This window comes from Homo sapiens, chromosome 16 (genome assembly GCF_000001405.40).
Source record: "Homo sapiens chromosome 16, GRCh38.p14 Primary Assembly".
NCBI classification, from domain to species: Eukaryota; Metazoa; Chordata; class Mammalia; order Primates; family Hominidae; genus Homo; species Homo sapiens.
Genome location: NC_000016.10, coordinates 73,035,127 through 73,051,320, shown reverse-complemented (window position 1 = coordinate 73,051,320; position 16,194 = coordinate 73,035,127). Strand labels below are relative to the sequence as shown.

At 48.0% G+C, this 16,194-nt stretch overlaps 1 protein-coding gene and 1 long non-coding RNA gene across 8 annotated transcripts in view, besides 8 other annotated features; one reads left to right on the top strand and one right to left on the bottom strand.

Annotated features, from left to right (window-relative positions):
- ZFHX3 (zinc finger homeobox 3) overlaps nt 1–16,194 on the top strand; it is a 1,109,046-nt gene that overhangs the window by 840,610 nt on the left and 252,242 nt on the right. For 3 of the 6 annotated variants that reach the window (XM_024450291.2, XM_017023251.3, NM_006885.4), the window contains exon 1: nt 3,193–3,569. The exons of the other annotated variants lie outside the window; for them this stretch is intronic. In XM_024450291.2, the coding sequence (XP_024306059.1) occupies nt 3,500–3,569 (70 nt within the window). In that variant the 5' untranslated portion in view covers nt 3,193–3,499. Of the gene's footprint in view, nt 1–3,192; nt 3,570–16,194 lie in introns of those variants that run through there. 6 annotated transcript variants of the gene reach the window in all.
- Nucleotides 533–3,743, bottom strand: LOC124903719 (uncharacterized). 2 transcript variants are annotated; one of them, XR_007065116.1, is made up of 2 exons: nt 3,521–3,743; nt 533–1,195 (listed from the first exon to the last, which is right to left on the bottom strand). It is a non-coding gene; the product is annotated as an uncharacterized LOC124903719 (long non-coding RNA). The 2 variants fall into 2 exon arrangements; XR_007065115.1 differs by lacking the exon at nt 3,521–3,743 and adding an exon at nt 1,289–2,804.
- Nucleotides 2,292–2,827: an enhancer, noted in NCBI's record as "H3K27ac hESC enhancer chr16:73082393-73082928 (GRCh37/hg19 assembly coordinates)". NCBI's record gives its function as "activates a minimal SCP1, AML or CMV promoter by ChIP-STARR-seq in primed H9 embryonic stem cells {active_cell/tissue: H9 hESC(primed)}" and the evidence as "EXISTENCE:reporter gene assay evidence [ECO:0000049][PMID:30033119]".
- Nucleotides 2,753–3,602: a silencer, noted in NCBI's record as "silent region_7690". NCBI's record gives its function as "represses an Ori minimal core promoter by ATAC-STARR-seq in GM12878 lymphoblastoid cells {active_cell/tissue: GM12878}" and the evidence as "EXISTENCE:reporter gene assay evidence [ECO:0000049][PMID:35858748]".
- Nucleotides 2,753–3,899: a biological region, named in NCBI's record as "H3K27ac hESC enhancer GRCh37_chr16:73081321-73081856".
- Nucleotides 3,364–3,899: an enhancer, noted in NCBI's record as "H3K27ac hESC enhancer chr16:73081321-73081856 (GRCh37/hg19 assembly coordinates)". NCBI's record gives its function as "activates a minimal SCP1, AML or CMV promoter by ChIP-STARR-seq in primed H9 embryonic stem cells {active_cell/tissue: H9 hESC(primed)}" and the evidence as "EXISTENCE:reporter gene assay evidence [ECO:0000049][PMID:30033119]".
- Nucleotides 6,263–6,763: an enhancer, noted in NCBI's record as "H3K27ac hESC enhancer chr16:73078457-73078957 (GRCh37/hg19 assembly coordinates)". NCBI's record gives its function as "activates a minimal SCP1, AML or CMV promoter by ChIP-STARR-seq in naive and primed H9 embryonic stem cells {active_cell/tissue: H9 hESC(naive and primed)}" and the evidence as "EXISTENCE:reporter gene assay evidence [ECO:0000049][PMID:30033119]".
- Nucleotides 10,597–11,109: an enhancer, noted in NCBI's record as "OCT4-NANOG-H3K4me1 hESC enhancer chr16:73074111-73074623 (GRCh37/hg19 assembly coordinates)". NCBI's record gives its function as "activates a minimal SCP1, AML or CMV promoter by ChIP-STARR-seq in naive H9 embryonic stem cells {active_cell/tissue: H9 hESC(naive)}" and the evidence as "EXISTENCE:reporter gene assay evidence [ECO:0000049][PMID:30033119]".
- Nucleotides 14,163–15,015: an enhancer, noted in NCBI's record as "NANOG-H3K27ac-H3K4me1 hESC enhancer chr16:73070205-73071057 (GRCh37/hg19 assembly coordinates)". NCBI's record gives its function as "activates a minimal SCP1, AML or CMV promoter by ChIP-STARR-seq in naive H9 embryonic stem cells {active_cell/tissue: H9 hESC(naive)}" and the evidence as "EXISTENCE:reporter gene assay evidence [ECO:0000049][PMID:30033119]".
- Nucleotides 15,016–15,870: an enhancer, noted in NCBI's record as "NANOG-H3K27ac-H3K4me1 hESC enhancer chr16:73069350-73070204 (GRCh37/hg19 assembly coordinates)". NCBI's record gives its function as "activates a minimal SCP1, AML or CMV promoter by ChIP-STARR-seq in naive H9 embryonic stem cells {active_cell/tissue: H9 hESC(naive)}" and the evidence as "EXISTENCE:reporter gene assay evidence [ECO:0000049][PMID:30033119]".

Below are 16,194 nucleotides of genomic sequence, written 5' to 3'. Positions count from 1 at the left end.
AATTCAGCTCCAAATGGTTCCTTGTTTATTTCAGGAACGTTTGTTTTTGTTTCTTGCCCTCTTCTGGATTTTTCTTTGTTAAAGCCTCCGGGTTATTTAAGCACTAGTTTTAAAAATCAATGTATACGTATAATTTAATAAAAATAGAAGAACCCGGAAGGGTGCACAAATCTGTCTAAACCCGCTGTACTGTGAAAAGAGAGCCCAGGTTACGCTGGAAGTCAGAATGCTGACATCCACTGTATCTTAGAGATCATATTTACCTTTGCAAAAGTGGAAGGATACAGCATTAGTAAGTGTGTATGTGTAGAGAAAGAGAGAGACAAGCAGGTTTGGCTCGGTAGAATCATTGTAATTTACCAGCCAGCTCAGCGTTAGGGGGCAGGCCTCTGGCTTGGAGAGTGGGTAAGGGGAGGAGTAGGGAAGGGGTTAGCGCTCCCTGATTTATTTTTAAATATTTATCCTTTCGGCTGTTGCCAATTACGCTTTCCAGATGAGACGAGACTGGGTATGGAGAACTGCGAGGGAAGAATTGCCTTTTCTGAGAGTGGGTTTATTTGTCAGCAGTGTTCAGGATGGAGCGATGAGAATGTCAGGCTGTCACTGCTGGGTAGGCCATGGGTTTAACATCAGGCAGCTGCCCTCCGAAGAGCCAGGGCTTCCAGAGCTGGAGGATAGAATTTGCAAGGAGTATTTCAGAGGAACTCCTGATTTCATATGTAAGTGCAGAAGTTGCCAATTCCCTCTGAAGAGGTATTGTTTTTATGAATAAGGAAAATGAGTTTTAGTAGAGGTGACACCCAGCTTGTGTGTAGTCCCTCATTTCCATAATGTACAGAGGCCATAGATCACCTGCCTGTGGATTACCTGTTAAATTTTTGCCTGGAACAAAGGCAGGCTTGACTAGGCCTCATCATGTGTGTAGCTGGTGCCAGATAAAGAAAAGGAACTCAGGGTCACTCTCAGTTCTACTTGTCAGGCCTCTCAAGTGCAGGAGGCAGGTTGCAGGGTCTGCCTCTTGGGACAGTGGCAGTATTAGGGCAGATCCCGTCCGGGCCTTCTGCCCAGGCAGTGCTGCATCCTCCCAGGTTACTTTAATAGCTTGTTCTTTGGGCTTTCTAGCTTTTATTTTATTGAAGGTATTTGTCTGTGGGCCTACCAGGATCATGATGTCACCAGATTACGAGGTTGTCCCCTGTTAATAAAAATGAAGATAAAGCAGCAAAATTAGATTTTCTGAGAGTATCAACATTTTCTTGTTGTCTTTAATTTATCCAGCAGGCCTTACCTATCCCAGGTAAGGAATCTTCGTTTTTCCGGAGAGATTGCCAGAGGCATCTCTGCGTTGTGGGCCACGTTGCTTGCGGTCCTGCTAGCATACGTCATCTTCATGTCTTATTCATAGTCACTTTTTCAATTAAATTATTAATTGTTTTCTTTAAGGTGTTCTCAACTTATATGGCCAATATAAATAACAGTGTGTTTTGAAAACACCACCTGTTCTTGGGCCTGAAGTCAGGTGGTCTGGAAGCAGCTCTGCAGTGACCATAGTCTGGTTTGCAAACTCATCCTCCACCTTCCCTGTTGGCTCTTAACTCCCCCCACCCGGCCCCCGTGCTCTCACGTGTGACTGAATTGGGCTTGTGCCCTCCTTTGTCCCTAATCGGACATGATTCCCTGGAGGCAGTCTTTTCTCCCAGGGCCTTAGCTGAAATAAATAAATAAATAAATAAATTTCCCCAGAATCTATTCTGGACTAAAATGTAGAAAGGGGCTGTCTGTACCCAACAGGTTAGATACTTACATTAATCTGAACCCAACTTACATTGTGCAAAAAGCCTTCTATACGGGGATGTGATGGTTTTCACCAGCTAAGCATCCCTTTTTCTCCCGAGTCAGTGTGTGCCTCATGCTAATACAATTCCATACATACTGCTCTTCGCCTCATGAGCTGATTATATTTCTAACACTTGCATGGTTCATTATTGTGCCCGAGGAAAAGACTCTCCAGGCTGTAAGGCCAGCCTGGGTGGGTGGTTTTCAGAAAGGGTAAAAGCAGGTGCCTTTCTGTGCTGTGAGAATCGGGAGTAAATTCAGACTGAGGGTGGGATTCTGACAGGGAGGACAGAGGACTTCCGGTGAGATTTCTTTGGGGCTGGCTTTCAGATGAGAATGGAAAAAGGTGGACTTGGGGAGATAGAAGGCGCCCAGCAATCGCTTTGACCAACTGGAAAAGGTGAACTTGGGGAGATAGAAAGGCGCCCAGCAATCACTTTGACCAACTGGGGTGGCCGCTTTAAATCTTACCCTGGCGGTAGGAACTCCCTGGGAAAGGGCACGATCTTTGCTATCTCTGCGGTGATGTGGCTTTATAAGGTGAGGCTAAGGAGCCTGGAGGCTTACATGGTAGACTGCATCTCCTTTTCTTCCCACTTCTTTTCTTCCTATCTTTCTAGTGATCTCTCCTTTTCTCTTTCTCTGGCCTCAAAAACTATCCTTAAACTCTCAACGGAGAGCAGGGGGATGTTTTTATAAGTTTCTGCAACTGAAAAACAGAAGTGCTCTGTAAAGCAGTTAATAGGATGGGTGTGTGTTTCCAATAAATTCCTGTCCACATTGGCTCCTGTCCCCATGCTTGAGTGGCCTGGCTGTGACGTGGACGGGGCCCAGGGAGCGATGGCTCCGGTTCGGAGGCCTCAGGCTCCTTTTAGTGGCCGAGGGCGCGTCCCTTTCTTCTCGCCCGATTCTAGGCCGGCCCCTGACCTTTGATGAGCGAGGGGTCAGCGCCTCCGGGAGGGCCTGGGCTTTGTTCCCGCCGGGGCCGGTTCCCGGGGCGGCGCAGGCCGAGCGGCGAGGGTTCCTGGCCCCAGGCGGGTGCGCGGGACCCCCGGCCTGCCCCAAGGCCCGCGCCCCAAGCGGAGCGAGCGCAGCTGAGCGCCCGGGTCCCGCGCGTCCCTGTGCGTCCCCGGGTCCCTGCGGGCGGGCGGGCGCGGTCGCCGCCGAGCAACCCGGCCTGCGCCCGGCACGACTGTAGATGTCAGGCTTTGCCCGGGGAGCCGAGCGGCAGCGGGGCTGTGAGTTTCAAATTAACCTTCCGCTTTGTTGCTGTGTAATGTGGATCCCCGAAGGCCCCCCGCCCCGCCCGCCCCCCTTCCCCGGGCGGTGCGCGCTGCAAACTGCGAGTTGGGCTTCATTTACATAAAGCGATTCCGGGCGGGCGGCGGCAGAGGAGGAGGCGGCGGCGGCGGGCAGGCCGGGGACCCGGACGCCAGCGCCGCGCCCCGTGGGTGAATCCCCGCCGCGTCCCGGGGACCTCCCTCCGGGGACGGGCCGACCGCCAGCCCTGCCGCCACCATGAGCTCCCCTCCCCTGTCTCCGGGCCCCCTGCTCCTGACCAGAGCCACCTCCGAGTCCTGGGGCCAGCGGGAGGTGGGGAGCATGCCGCCTGGGGTGGGTGAGCTCGGGGCTCGGGTGCCACTGGAATTTCCCGTTGTTGCGCATGGCGGCGCGGCCCCCGGACCTGCAAGTGCCGCCTCCCTCCGGAGGTGCGCGGAGGCTTGGTGTGCCAGGTGAGTGCAGCCTCCCTCCGGGTCCGCGCAGCCGGCCTGGAGCCGCGGGCAGGTGCTGCGAGTCTTGGCTGAACTTCCCATTCTCTTGGGGCGTGTGGGGGAAGGGCAGGCTGGATGCACTTGAACTCCCAGACTCCAGTTGCCACCTACCTAGGGTGAGAGCGCCTAAATTCTGCTGGGCACACAGTAAAGCTCTTCCTTCCTCCTTCCTTCCCTTCCCTCTGTCCTCCCCTCCCTCCTCCTTTCCTGAGTCTGCTTTTGGATTAGTTCCTGCCTTCTGAATACTTGTGGTACTGGTGTCATTTAGAAGTTTGGGTGCCTCCGCCTAAAAATGCACCCTTTTCAGCCCTGGAGAAGTCGCTGGTCAGTTCGAAACAATGTGAAGAATGCGCTTGTGGAGTAATTAAAGGGAGAATCAGAGTTTTGGAGCTGGAGGGCACCTTTGGAGATCATCTTGTCCACCCTCTAATTTTAGTTTTTTCGCACTCTTGGAAAAGTCAGAGCATTTATTTCCTTGGGCAGGGGCGGGGTGGGGAGCTGATGCAAAGGAGAGAGTCAAGATTTTTATCCTGTTAGGAGGAGGAATGCCTATGTTTAGGTCAGTAGCAGAAAAACAATAACAACAAAAAGAAGCATTGTAGGCTTGGAGGGAAACGAACCTTCTGGAAAATGTTCTTTTCTGCCTTGGACACACCTGTGTTATGATAGGAAAAGGCCTGGAGGGCAAAGACTGCAGCTCACGCATGGTGTGTGCTAAGAGGGAATTGCGTGGCACAGTGGTACCTCCTGTGTTAAACTGGCTTAAGTGAAAGCCGTGAGCAGGTGAATCCAGGAGGGTCATCCCTCCCCCCACCCTCTGTGTCATTTAACAGTCCTTGAAGACTCCCTAAAGCCACTGACAGAAAACCCCAGAGAGAACAGATGGCTCTGCCTGGGCACAGAAGGAAGGCCTCTCCTTCATACTGGGTCCTGCTTGTCAGAATGCACCAGGGCAAAGCCTTGAAGGTAGATTGTGAGAAAGTTACACATCATCTTATTTCTCTCTATGCTTTGAGATCCTTGGAGACAAGTCACTAAATAAATAGTGTATAATTTAAAGCTCACCCTAGCTGGGGAAACTCTGTTTCCTTGCCGTCAAGCAGCAGGTGCGAGTTTGTAGAGTTGGCCCCTCGAGTTCCCTCATTCCTGAATTCAGGAGGTGTCAAATCTTCACGTTCAGTTAATGGCTGTGGTTTCTGGATAGGTTTCAAGGGAAACCCTGAAAATCACGAGTTCCAGGAGGCTGGGCTGGAGGAGGACACGAGAGTGCTGTGGTGGGGACTGCATTGGGTAGGAAAACATACACCTTCCAAGGTAACCTGATCAAGAAAGGCCGTAGCAAGAAACATGAGTCTGCTCCTTGTTATCAGAACAGCCACTGGCAGCCTGAGATTCTGAATCCCTCTTGCTACTCAAACATGAAAAACAATGAAGGCAAAAGTGAGGTGTGAGGGAAGTCAGGAGACCACGGTTCCAAATAATTGAAGGGTTTCAAGAATGGGGTCTTCACAGAGAGGTACATACCTGGATGTTTGCACGCCTGTATTTGTGTTCATTCTGTTTTGCAGAGACCCTGCAGGCACCCTTTCAGAGAGTGTGTAGCTATGATGGCCAAAAGAAACTTTTTCTCTCTCCCTTTGCTAAATTACAGGACTAAGGAGTTCTCCTCATGGTGTTTCCAGCATAGTTTTCAGAAAGCATGTAAAGTGCCTCTCAGAGTGGGCTGGGGTCACAGTTGGCTCTTTTATTTAATTACACAAGTGTTATTTAACAACATGGAGCAGATGCAGAAGCGAGCACTTTTAGACTTTAAAAACAGCCCTTTCAGAATCACAAGGAATTAAGTGACTTGGAGACCTTCTGTCTTTATGACATGGGTCACTTCCCTCTCTCAACAACCCCCCCCCACTTTTTTTTTTTTTTTTGAAATGGCTGTACTTTCTATGAAATAGAGCTACTGTTTTCCATTTCTCCTGAAAACAGTGTTGATGAACAGGGAACTATTGAGAAACACTTGCTAACTATTCAATAATAATAATAATAATAATAATAATAATAATAATAATAATAATGTAAATCCATGCTGCTTCCCCAACCACCTGAAACTTAATTTTGGTTCCTTTTCTTCCATTTTTTGTTTGCACAAATGAATGTTAAGGGAGGGTTGGAAAGGCCCATCTAAAACGGTGCCCTCCACAGGCCCCTGCCTGGCTCTTCCCACCAGGACAGTGAAGTGCCTGCCTTCTTGCTGCTTTGAGGTTGAATTTAACTGCTGTGTCAACTCAGTGCCAATTGGACAGCCCAGTGGCAAGGAGCTAAAATAAGCGAGATTTAGTTTTCATCATTATGACTTTAAATGATGCTTGCTAGACACTCCCAGGACCGGCCTGGCTCATCTTTGGTGACCCAAAAGTGGTTAGTTCATTAGAATAAATCTGTGATTACAGACTGCTGGAAAAGTATTTCTAGGGCTAGTGGTGATGTGGCTTAGTTCTAGCATCCAGGAAACATGTCCTTATTGTCACTGTGTGCAGTTGTTCCTTTTTGGTGTATCTTTCAGGGGTAGGAGCTTTTTTTCTTCCACCTACAAAGTATCAGTAAGAATCTGGAAATGCTTCAGGGCTCAGAGCAGACCCTTACTTAAGAAATTATTTTTATTGCAGAGTTGTAACAGTGTCATCTTAAAAAGTAAATATTTAAGTGACTAAGCAACATTTTGTAAAAGTGTAGGGAACTGGCTTGAATTATTTAAAGGGGAAGAAAGTGAGCTGTCTTTATAAAACTCACCTTTTGGCCAGGCATGGTGGCTCATGCCTGTAATCCCAGCACTTTGGGAGGCTGAGGCAGGCAGATCACTTGAGGTTGGGAGTTCGAGACCAGCCTGATCAACATGGAGAAACCCCGTCTCTACTAAAAATACAAAATTAGCCGAGTGTGATGGTGCATTCCTGTAACTCCAGCTACTCAGGAGGCCGAGGCAGGAGAATCGCTTGAATCTGGGAGGGGGAGGTTGCAGTGAGCTGAGATTGGGCCATTGCATTCTAGCCTGGGCAACAAGAGCGAAACTCCGAAACTCCATCTCAAAGCAAACAAACAAACAAACAAACAAACACTCACCTTTTAAGAGTAACTCACTTGTTTCTCAGCTCTAAGGATTTAGCCTTGACTTACAAGTAGGCAGCAATGATTCTGGTCTGAACAAACTTATATAAACTCCATCTCACCCTCACTCGTACTGCACACTGAAGATGCCTGTCAGTAACCTGAAGAAGTACAGTATGTGCTGTGGTTTATGCTTTCATTTGTTATTAAAATGATTGCTTGCTGTTAGCCTGGCCTATTTCTGTGATGTTTGGGCCTGTTGGCTTGCTCTGGTTCCTAAGGCTGGTGCAATTAACCAGGATGGGGGCGTTACTGTAAAAACACAACAGGAAGGCAGATTCCATTACAGTGAACCTCATAGGGGTATCCAAATGCTCTGGTATGAGAATTTGGTGGTAATGGTTATTATTAGAAATCACAGCACAGCTCAGAACCACCGTCCTCTGCCTGAGTTAAAAAACTATGGTCAGGGGAAATGGGAACCCAGTTTTAATAGAATCTAGGCAAGGGAATTCCTTGGCAGGAGCTAGTTTAAATCATAAAGGGCGCCTGTTCTGTCCAAAGCACAGTGTCCTGTGTCCTCAGGCCACTCAGATTGAGAAAGGAGCACACAGAAGCTACGGTTGTGTCAAACCGCCCCGAGGGAGAGACCCAGGCAGAAATCTTGGCTCATTGGCAAGCCACTTTGAAAATCCAGATTAAAGAGAAGCACTACAAAATCAACAACTGTCAGAGGGCTTTTCTCTATGATTTAAAGTTGACTGCCAGATTGATCTCTTTGAACATGTGCAAAGTGGCAATCAGATGTTGGAGGGCTTCTTTGGGCTAATATGGTAAATGACTTTGATATGGACAGAAACTGAGGACAGAGGTGCAGAGCAAGGCTTAGTGCCGATTGACAGCAGCACTGAGCTGAAGCTTCAGAAGTAGGGAAACGACTGGAATGTTTCTGGTTTTCATTCTTTGGGCCAGGGGACAGGTGGGTGAGGACAAGGCCGTGGTCTAGGCAGTGATGGGGGTGTCTCTAGAGAGTTATTTGCCCAAGGAAAGTACTTTGGCTTTTAACATTTAAAGGGGATTTTTTCTTTCTTTGACGTTTCTGCCTTTCAGCCTTCATTCATGGAGTTTCTTGCTTTTACAAGAATAAGGGCTCAAATAAAAACAGGGAGGGAGACATAGAAAGTTTGCGAGATGGCAAATTCAGCCCCATTTTGAAGCAAGACTTCTGTTTTGTTGGTTTTAACTCCAGCCCGGGCCTCTTAGCAAAATGCCTGGGCTTCATCTGCCTTTTGGGTGACCCCCTCTCCCTGTCCATCAGAGGGTCACCACAGCAGTCTCAACATGAGGATTACTGTGTGGGGGGTTTGATGTGTACCTTTCCAGAGGGGCCTTAGCTGGCTTGCTGTGTCCTGGAGGTCTTAGGTGGTTCTGCTGTGTGTTCTTTGAGCTTTGGTATTAACACATGTGCTGCCTCTGAGATTTGTCCATCCTTTTCCCTCCCTGGAGTCAGGTCTAAAGCTTCCAGTGAGGCGGGCAAAACATCTGCCGCACTCCCACCCCTACTCCTGGCTGCTGGTGGTTTGGGATGAAGCCACTGAAACTCCCTTGCAAGGCCACACCTTGAGAAGATGGGCCGGTGCTGGGATGCCTCTCACTTTCTATTCTGCTTGGTTTCTGGGAGGAAGCTAATGACATAAGGGGCCTAAAGGCTTTCTTAACTGGTGACCTGGAGTTTAATTGTAAGTGGGTCTTTCGGGGCAGCAGTTAGGAATGTATGGATCACCTTCAGTCATCTGCAGGGAGACTTGGACTGGAAGTGGGAGAACTGGCTCCACTGGACTCTGAAAAAGGCTGTGGAGTTTTCATCTGCTGCTGATTTCATCCACTGTCCCAAAAGTTATCTTGGCCACAAACCTTTGATCTGGGAGTGAGACCCCTCGCCCGATGCTTCTAGGGCAGGAGTCAGTGACTGCCTATACCCGCTGTTCTGTGTAGATGGGAGAGGGTGTTAGTTATTGAGTAGGGCTGAGTACTTGGGGTGATTTGGGGTGGTTAGGCATGATTGGGGCTTACACACTGGAGGGGTCATGTGTAGGCTTCTTGATGGGGTTCTTTCAGGAAGGAGGAGGCAAAAGAACAGTTTTGCTTGTTTCTTGGTTGTTCCTGACTCCATCCAGGAGTGTGACTGGAGAAAAATTCTTCTGAGTGTATCGGTTAGGCTGGCTTTTGGATAGATGGTCCCCGGTGCCCATTTCTATCATAGGCTCTGCATTTCAGTAGGAAGATTCTAGTTCAGAGGCGACTGCCTCTGTCTTCTCATTTGAATCTCCTTAGTGGAGAGGCAGGAGGCAGATTAGCCGAGTGCAGAAAGACCAAGGGGCTTAATCTGATAGTTGATCTCAGCCCTGCATCCCCTGAAAAAGTCATATAAGTGCCTGTTCAAATATGGAAGTCTGTCTCCCTTCAGTATGCAAACATCGCTTTTCAGAAGCATTTAAACTCCTGAAAGTCTATAAAAACCACATATGTGTAGACATGAACTGAGCTGCTCCCCATGCTTCCAGTCTCCTGAGTGGCCTATTTCTGATGACTTCTCCCTTCCCAACATCTTTGTCCCGTGGAAGTTGCTGAAGAACACATGGGTGCCTTTCTTCTCCATCTCCCAACTTCTCTTTTTTCTTTTTTTAAACAATTGTTCTTAACTACTCAAGAAGCAATGCAAGCCTCTTCCACCATTTAAGGCCCTGCTTCCTAAAATGCTCTTTGGCTCAAGGCCTTGGTTCTTAATGTACATTTGGCCTTGACTGGAGGAATGGTTTCTGCTTCCCTTTTAACAGCTCCGCTTTTTTTTGTGGAGTATCTGCATCAGCGTTAAAGTGTCAGGTCAACTTTTGGACACTTTAGAAGAGGCTCATGGATTTCAGTGTGTGCGGCAGGAGGTTGGTGTCACTACTCAAGCGACTGCTTTTAAATGCCATCTCTGTTCTGATGGAATCTTGAATAGTGTCCCCTTATGTTATTTGATAACGTAATTGAGATGGGCATTGATGAAGACTTTCAGTCTGTGTAACTGACTATATGAATGTGTGTTACCTGGGCCCCTGTTGGTTTGTTTTTCATAAGATAGTATTTTGCCCACTTAAAAAATGTTGTTCAAGTAAAGAATGGCAGAAATGACGGTAGTAGGGTCACCTCAGCCCTGCACACCCTTTTTTAACGGAGGCAGTCGAAGCTGGTTTTTCCTTCAACAGATAGGAAATCCAGAGGTATATTTGGGGAAAGCAGAGAACTTTTACACCTTGTGGGAAAGGACTGTCAATATATTTTGCCCTTGCTGGTGAAACTATAAAAATTGTCCAGACAGTGGAAAAATTGGGTGACAGAGGAAATCCTGGTGCGGACTCCCAGATGTGTAACTGGAGGGAGGTGTGGTCTTCCTCATTGTTTGTTTGAAGGTAGGAAATAATTACAGAATAAAACAGGGCAGGGTCTGGCTGAGGACCAGAGCACTGCTTGTGAATCCCCTTCAAATGGGGACTCAACAGTGAATGGGAGAAGCAAAGGTGAATCAAAAAAGCCCACTCTTTGGAAAGGTGGCCTCTGCTCTTTCCTCTGCTATGGGCCTTACACCCTCTGCTGAGGCCATCAGTGTTACACCCTCTGGTGAGGCCTGAGCTGTGTGACTTTGGACCAGTAATTTAACCTCTTTGGGCCTCACTTCTTTCGTCTGTAAAATGGGCCTAATGCATACCTTACATTTGTAGTGGGAAGTAAATGAAATAGGAATCAGGGCTTCATACCACTTCACATACTGAAAAGCTTCTCCGGATATTGGCTGCCATCTCCACGCCCTTTTCATTTCTTTCTTTGCTACTGATGGCCTCTGCTACCTTTCGTTTCTTACCACCTTGGAAGAAATAAACTAAAAGGTCCAGCAATTCTCTTCTTCCCCATGGGGTGGAAATAGAGCCAACTCCTTTTGACATCTTTGCAACCGTGTTCAGAAGTGAAAGAGTCTGAAATAGTTACAGTGTCCCCCATCCACCCCAGCCCTCCCCTTCTGTCCCCCTCCCCAGGCTGGCAGGCGGCCCTCCAAGTGAGCAGCCTACTCAATGACCCACCTAGAGAGGCCTTCCCCGGCTGGCTTGTGTATGCTAATAGGCCTGACTTGTCCTGGCTTGTTTGTAGTGATTTGTGGAGGCATTTATATGCAAATACTATCAACTTGCAGAGTTAATTATCATGTGCCTCCCCTCTACCCCCTCCTGCTCGGCCTCCCAGCCTGGCTGGGCTGTTCTCATTCAGCACCACGCTCTTCCTGTCTTGGCCTCGCCTGTCCCTTGCCCTGTCCCCTTCCTATACCTGCAGGCCCCATCACAGCTCCTTTGCTGCTCCGTTGCCTGTCACAGGCACCCAGGCCTAGCCTGTGTGGTCAGGCATGGTGAACTGGGCATGCCAGTGACTCCCCCAGTTCAGACTCTCTGTTAGAGGCCTACTCTTGCTTGTGGGGGAGCCTGCCTTATGTTGCTTTGAGTTTTAAGCCCCATGTTTACCTACTAGCTTGAAAAACAGAGCTGCCCAGACATAATCAACCCTTGACACTCAACCCAGTCTGGCGACAAAGCGATTATAGTTTTTAAATTATTAGTAGTATTTTCATTTCCTCACATTGCTTATACCGCTCAAACTTATGACCAGTTCCGAGCTCTGGAGAGAAGCCATTTTGCAAAGGGATGTCCCCTCCTGCTCCTGGATATCTGAGTATTAAAAATTTGCTTGGGTTGTGCATGGTGGCTCATGCCTGTAATCCCAGCACTTTGGTAGGCCTAGGCAGGATTGCCTGACCTCAGGAGTTTGAGATCAGCTTGGGCAACGTGGTGAAACTCCATCTCTACTAAAAATAAAAAAATAAAAAAAGAGATACTTGGGTGGATCTCAGGCCTGGTCACTTCCTGGTTGTGTGTTGGCACTGTTGATGTTTGGGGATAATTGTTTTTGGGGGGAGTGGGCCACCTTGTGCATTGTAGGACATTTAGTATCCCTGGCATCTCCCCACTAGATGCCAGTAGCACCTTCTTCCCTTGATGTGACAATCAAAAATGTCTGCAGGAATTGCCCACTGTCCCTTGGGGAGGCAAAATCGCCTCCAGTTAAGAACACCTGAAATAGAGGTTACATTTGCTTCTCCTGGTCTAAAACAATGGCAGGTTCCCGGCCACTCCCCCCATTTAGACACCTTCACTGCAGCCTGGGAGTTGAGCAGCCTCTGCGTATGTGATTCCACCTGATACCAGATGATGCTGTTTGCTCAATTTTACACTGGTCTTTTTGGCATTTAAAAATGAAGAATCTGGGCTGGGTGTGGTGGCTCAAGCCTGTAATCTCAGCACTTTGGGAGGCAGAGGCAGGCGGATTGCTTGAGCTCAGGGGCTTGAGACCTGCCTGGGCAACATAGGGAGACCCTGTCTCTACAAACTTTTTTTTTTTTTTTTTAATTAGCTAGGCTCGGTGGCATGTGCCTGTAGTCCCAGCCACTCAAGAGGCTGAGGCAGGAGGATCTCTTGAGCCCAGAGGTTTGAGCCCAGGGGTTCGAGGCCAGCCTTAGCAACATGGCAAGACCTTGTCTCTACAAAAAAAATACAAAAATTAGCCGGGCGTGGTGGTGCACGCCTGTATTCCTAGCTACTCGGGAGGCTGAGGTGGGTGGATTGCTTGAGCCCAGGAAGTAGAGGCTGCATTGAGCCGTGATTGTGCCACTGCACTCCAGCCTGGGTGACAGAGTGACATCCCGACTCAATAATAATAATAATAATAATAATAATAGTAATAAAAAGGAAGAGTCTTTCCTTTTAGAGCATGGTAATGTGCTAGCACTTGAGGTGGTAACATTTGCACCTCTCTAGTGCTGTCCAATAGAGAGAGAGAGAGAGAGAGTACAAGCTTATATGTAATTGTACATTTCCTAGTAGTCATTCATAAAAAGTAAAAAGAAACAGGTGGAATTAACTTTAAAACAGATATTTTCAGCAACCCACGATTTCACCATGATGTTCTGGTCTCAACGCTCAGAACCAGCCCCATGTCCAGTGCTCAGAAGCCGCGTGCAGTTGTGGCCGTCATATTGGATGGCTTAGTTCTCAGATGATTCTGGGCCTTTGCAGCCATGACGTCAGGTCGTTTTCTACTGTTACTGAGTCAGGGAGGAAGTTTTTTTCTTCTGTTTATTCTCTGAAAGGTAAGGCCTTCCTTGGCTGCACAGCTGCAGCTGAGAAGCGGATTCTGAAGGGGCAGGGTCTCTAATCTCTAGGGAAGCTCCCCCAGCCTCCACAGTGGGGAAGCCCTCTAGACAGGATTTTGGGCTGAGCCTGGATAGTTGGGGGGGTGGGGGAGTCAATATCCCGAGGGCCCCGTGGACTCTCGCACCACACAGACTAATGCTTCAGGTTAATTTTGTGTACAAGGTCCCTTTTGTTGGACAAGGGGATGAAAGTCCACAGCTGTGACTGGAAAGAGGGGAAGGACCCTCTGGGATGACCTTGTTTTGGAAAGTCTAAATGGAATACTAATGGCCGAGATCTAAGAAGGGTGATGTATGTGTGTGTTTGACTGGGCTTAAAGATAAGGTGAAGAGTATTTTAAAAGTTGGTGTGCAGCTTCCCAGATAACCGTATGCCTGGGGCCAGTTACGATTTATGGCAAGCTGGTAGTCATGGCTGTGTGTTGGTCTCACTTTATCTTTTGAATCCTGGCTCTATAGCTTAACCGGTGGTGCTCTGTTTGTTTATTTTATCTTTTTTGGGTGGGTGGGGGACATGGGGGTCAGCCAGGTTTTACAGTGAAGCATAGCAGCATTTTATAACACACGAAGGGCTGTTCATATTTCTGCTCCTGGGTGCCCTGGGCTGTGTCACTTTTTACTGTCCCTAATGATAGCACATGCCAGGGTGTTGCATTCTAGAGTTTCCAGGAGCCTGAAGTGCAGGCCCCCATCTTGTACAGTGCCACAAGCTTGCCAGAGCTGTGAGCCGGGGAGGAGGTGTGGAGGCCTTAATATAGCTCCAAGCCCCAGGTTTCTTTCATCTCTGAGGTCAGCTTTTTCCTGTTGCCTCTTGACTTATTGAAACTGTCGCCGGGCTGGCCAGCACACCCAGCAGACTTTCCTAGTAAACAGAACAGCCCTGGGTGGCAGGTTCTTCGCTTTTTCTAGACGACAGATGAGCAGTGGGATCTTATGTCACTCAGTGGGACATTTCATATCTCCTCTGAGTCATTCCCTAAAAACCGCTTTTCTTAGAACTTAAAGAGATGCAGAATTTTACAGTAACCATGAAATTTCATGGATGCATTTGAATAGCAACCGGATATTTGAATACCTCCTTACCCCAGTATTCCTAAGGAAGAACTTTACACTGAAAAATACTCCCAAACTTTGTGTTTGGAAAACGTATGTTCTTGAGCTAGTTTGGACTCCGCTTTTAATAGTCGGGTTGTGATATACGGGTGTATCTTAAATCTGGGGTTCTCTTGTATTTGTACTTTGACAAGGTATAGTTGATGGGAGGGTGGGGTGAGGGTCTTTTATTTGCGCAGCAGTAAGGATGAAATGGGCAGTTCTTCTGATTTTTGGATGTTGTCTACAAAAATAACTTCTCTCACAATAAATTGGCATAGGAAGTTTGCGGGTGTGTTTTTTTGGAGGGTGAGAGATGTGGTCTGACTTCCCTCAGACTCTTCGCTTCACCTCTTGAGTAGGCCACGGCCATCTGCTTTAACAATTTTATTTTTTTTCATTTTAAATCCTCAAAGACAAAGGGACCTGGAAGTTCAGACCTGTCCTGCCACATTCCTGAGTAATTTGGTTTTGATTAACCCAAGGAGAAAAGTTGGTTTCTCCTAGCGACCGACCGAGGGGATCAAAGCGCCGGGAGGGGCAGTTCCCCTGATACACCCAGTCCCCCTCCTCCCTCTCTCCTGCCGGCCCCTCTCCCCTCCTCTTCCTCTACCCTCTACCTCCACCTCCCTCCTCCTCCCTGCGCCTTTTCAACCTCCCCCTCTTTAGAAGCTGAGCAGGAGTTATTTCCACTTTCTGACTCTCACAGAAGTGGAAGCGTATCATAGAGCTTTGGGTGGACAGACCAGGGAGAAATACATCCCCCCACCCATCCCTTTCTTCCTAAACTCCTTTTCCCCCCACAAAGCGGCAGAGCGCATTCCTGTGCTAATCCGGCTGCTGGAGGAATGCAAATGGCTGTAATTGTGTGCCTCTGGACCGGCCTTCCGCATCTGTGCAGCTTTTCTTCTTTGAGGAGGTGGCTAAAAAGTTCATTTACATAGAGAAATGAGACTGGCCTTGTGATCCCTAGTGGCAGAATAGGGACTTTCTAATAGGAAAGGGGCCACATCTGTGCTGCCTGCACCTTCCTCCCGCAGCCCTCCCCAGTTGTAGAGAGAGAGAGAGACAGAGAGAGAGAGAGTCTGTCTATGCGCGCGCACGCGTGTGCTGTGTGGTATGTGTGTATGGGGTGGGGGAGAAGGTGGACACCAGGCCCCTGCTGGGCATATTTTACAGAAGGGCAGTTAAAAGGGAGAAGTCTTCTCTTGATAGTAAGAAATCAGGCTGGAGTAGGAGACGGCTTACTTTTGGACAAGCCTCGTGGGTAGTCCTGGTATTAAACCACAGTAAATGACTTATTTTTATTTTGTTTTTGAGACAGGGTCTCACTCTGTCTCCCAGGCTGGAATCCAGTGGCACAATCTCAGCTCACTGTGCCTTCCTCCTCCTGGGTTCAAGTAGTCCTCCTGCCTCAGCCTCCCGAGTAGCTGGGACTACCAGCGTGGGCTGGTTTTCCACCATGCCCGGCTAATTTTTGTTTTGTTTTGTATTTTTAGTAGAGACGGGGTTTTGCCATGTTGGCCAGGCTAGTCTCGAACTCCTGAGCTCAAGTGATCCACCTGCCTCGGCCTCCCAAAGTGCTAGGATTACAGGTGTGAGCCACAATGCCTGGCCTATTATTATTTTTTAAAAGCACGCTGTGGGTCCCAGAAGTGATTTATTTTTTCTTAGTTTATACTTGAGTTTGGCAGTGAGTTGTTGGATACTAAGATTGTTCAGCCCATTTAAAAGTATCATTTGGGAGCCAGTACATTGTAGCTTTAGGGAGATGTTCAAGACAGACAAGAGAAGTCTGTCTCAGTCATATCCGAGAACACTTAGAATCCCGCCTGAATCTGAAGTTGAAAGACAGGCAGAGGTTCTGAAACAGGACCATCCAGTAGAAATACAGTGTAAGCCACGTAGGTAATTTTAGATTTTCTATTAGTCACATTAAACAATGAGAAACAGGTGGAATGAATTTTCATAATACATTTAGCCCAGTATATCCAAAAGGTTATCATTTCCACAGGTAATCAATATTAATAAAACTATTAATGAGATATTTTACATCCCTTTTTTTTGTACCAAATCTTTGGAGTCCTGTATTTT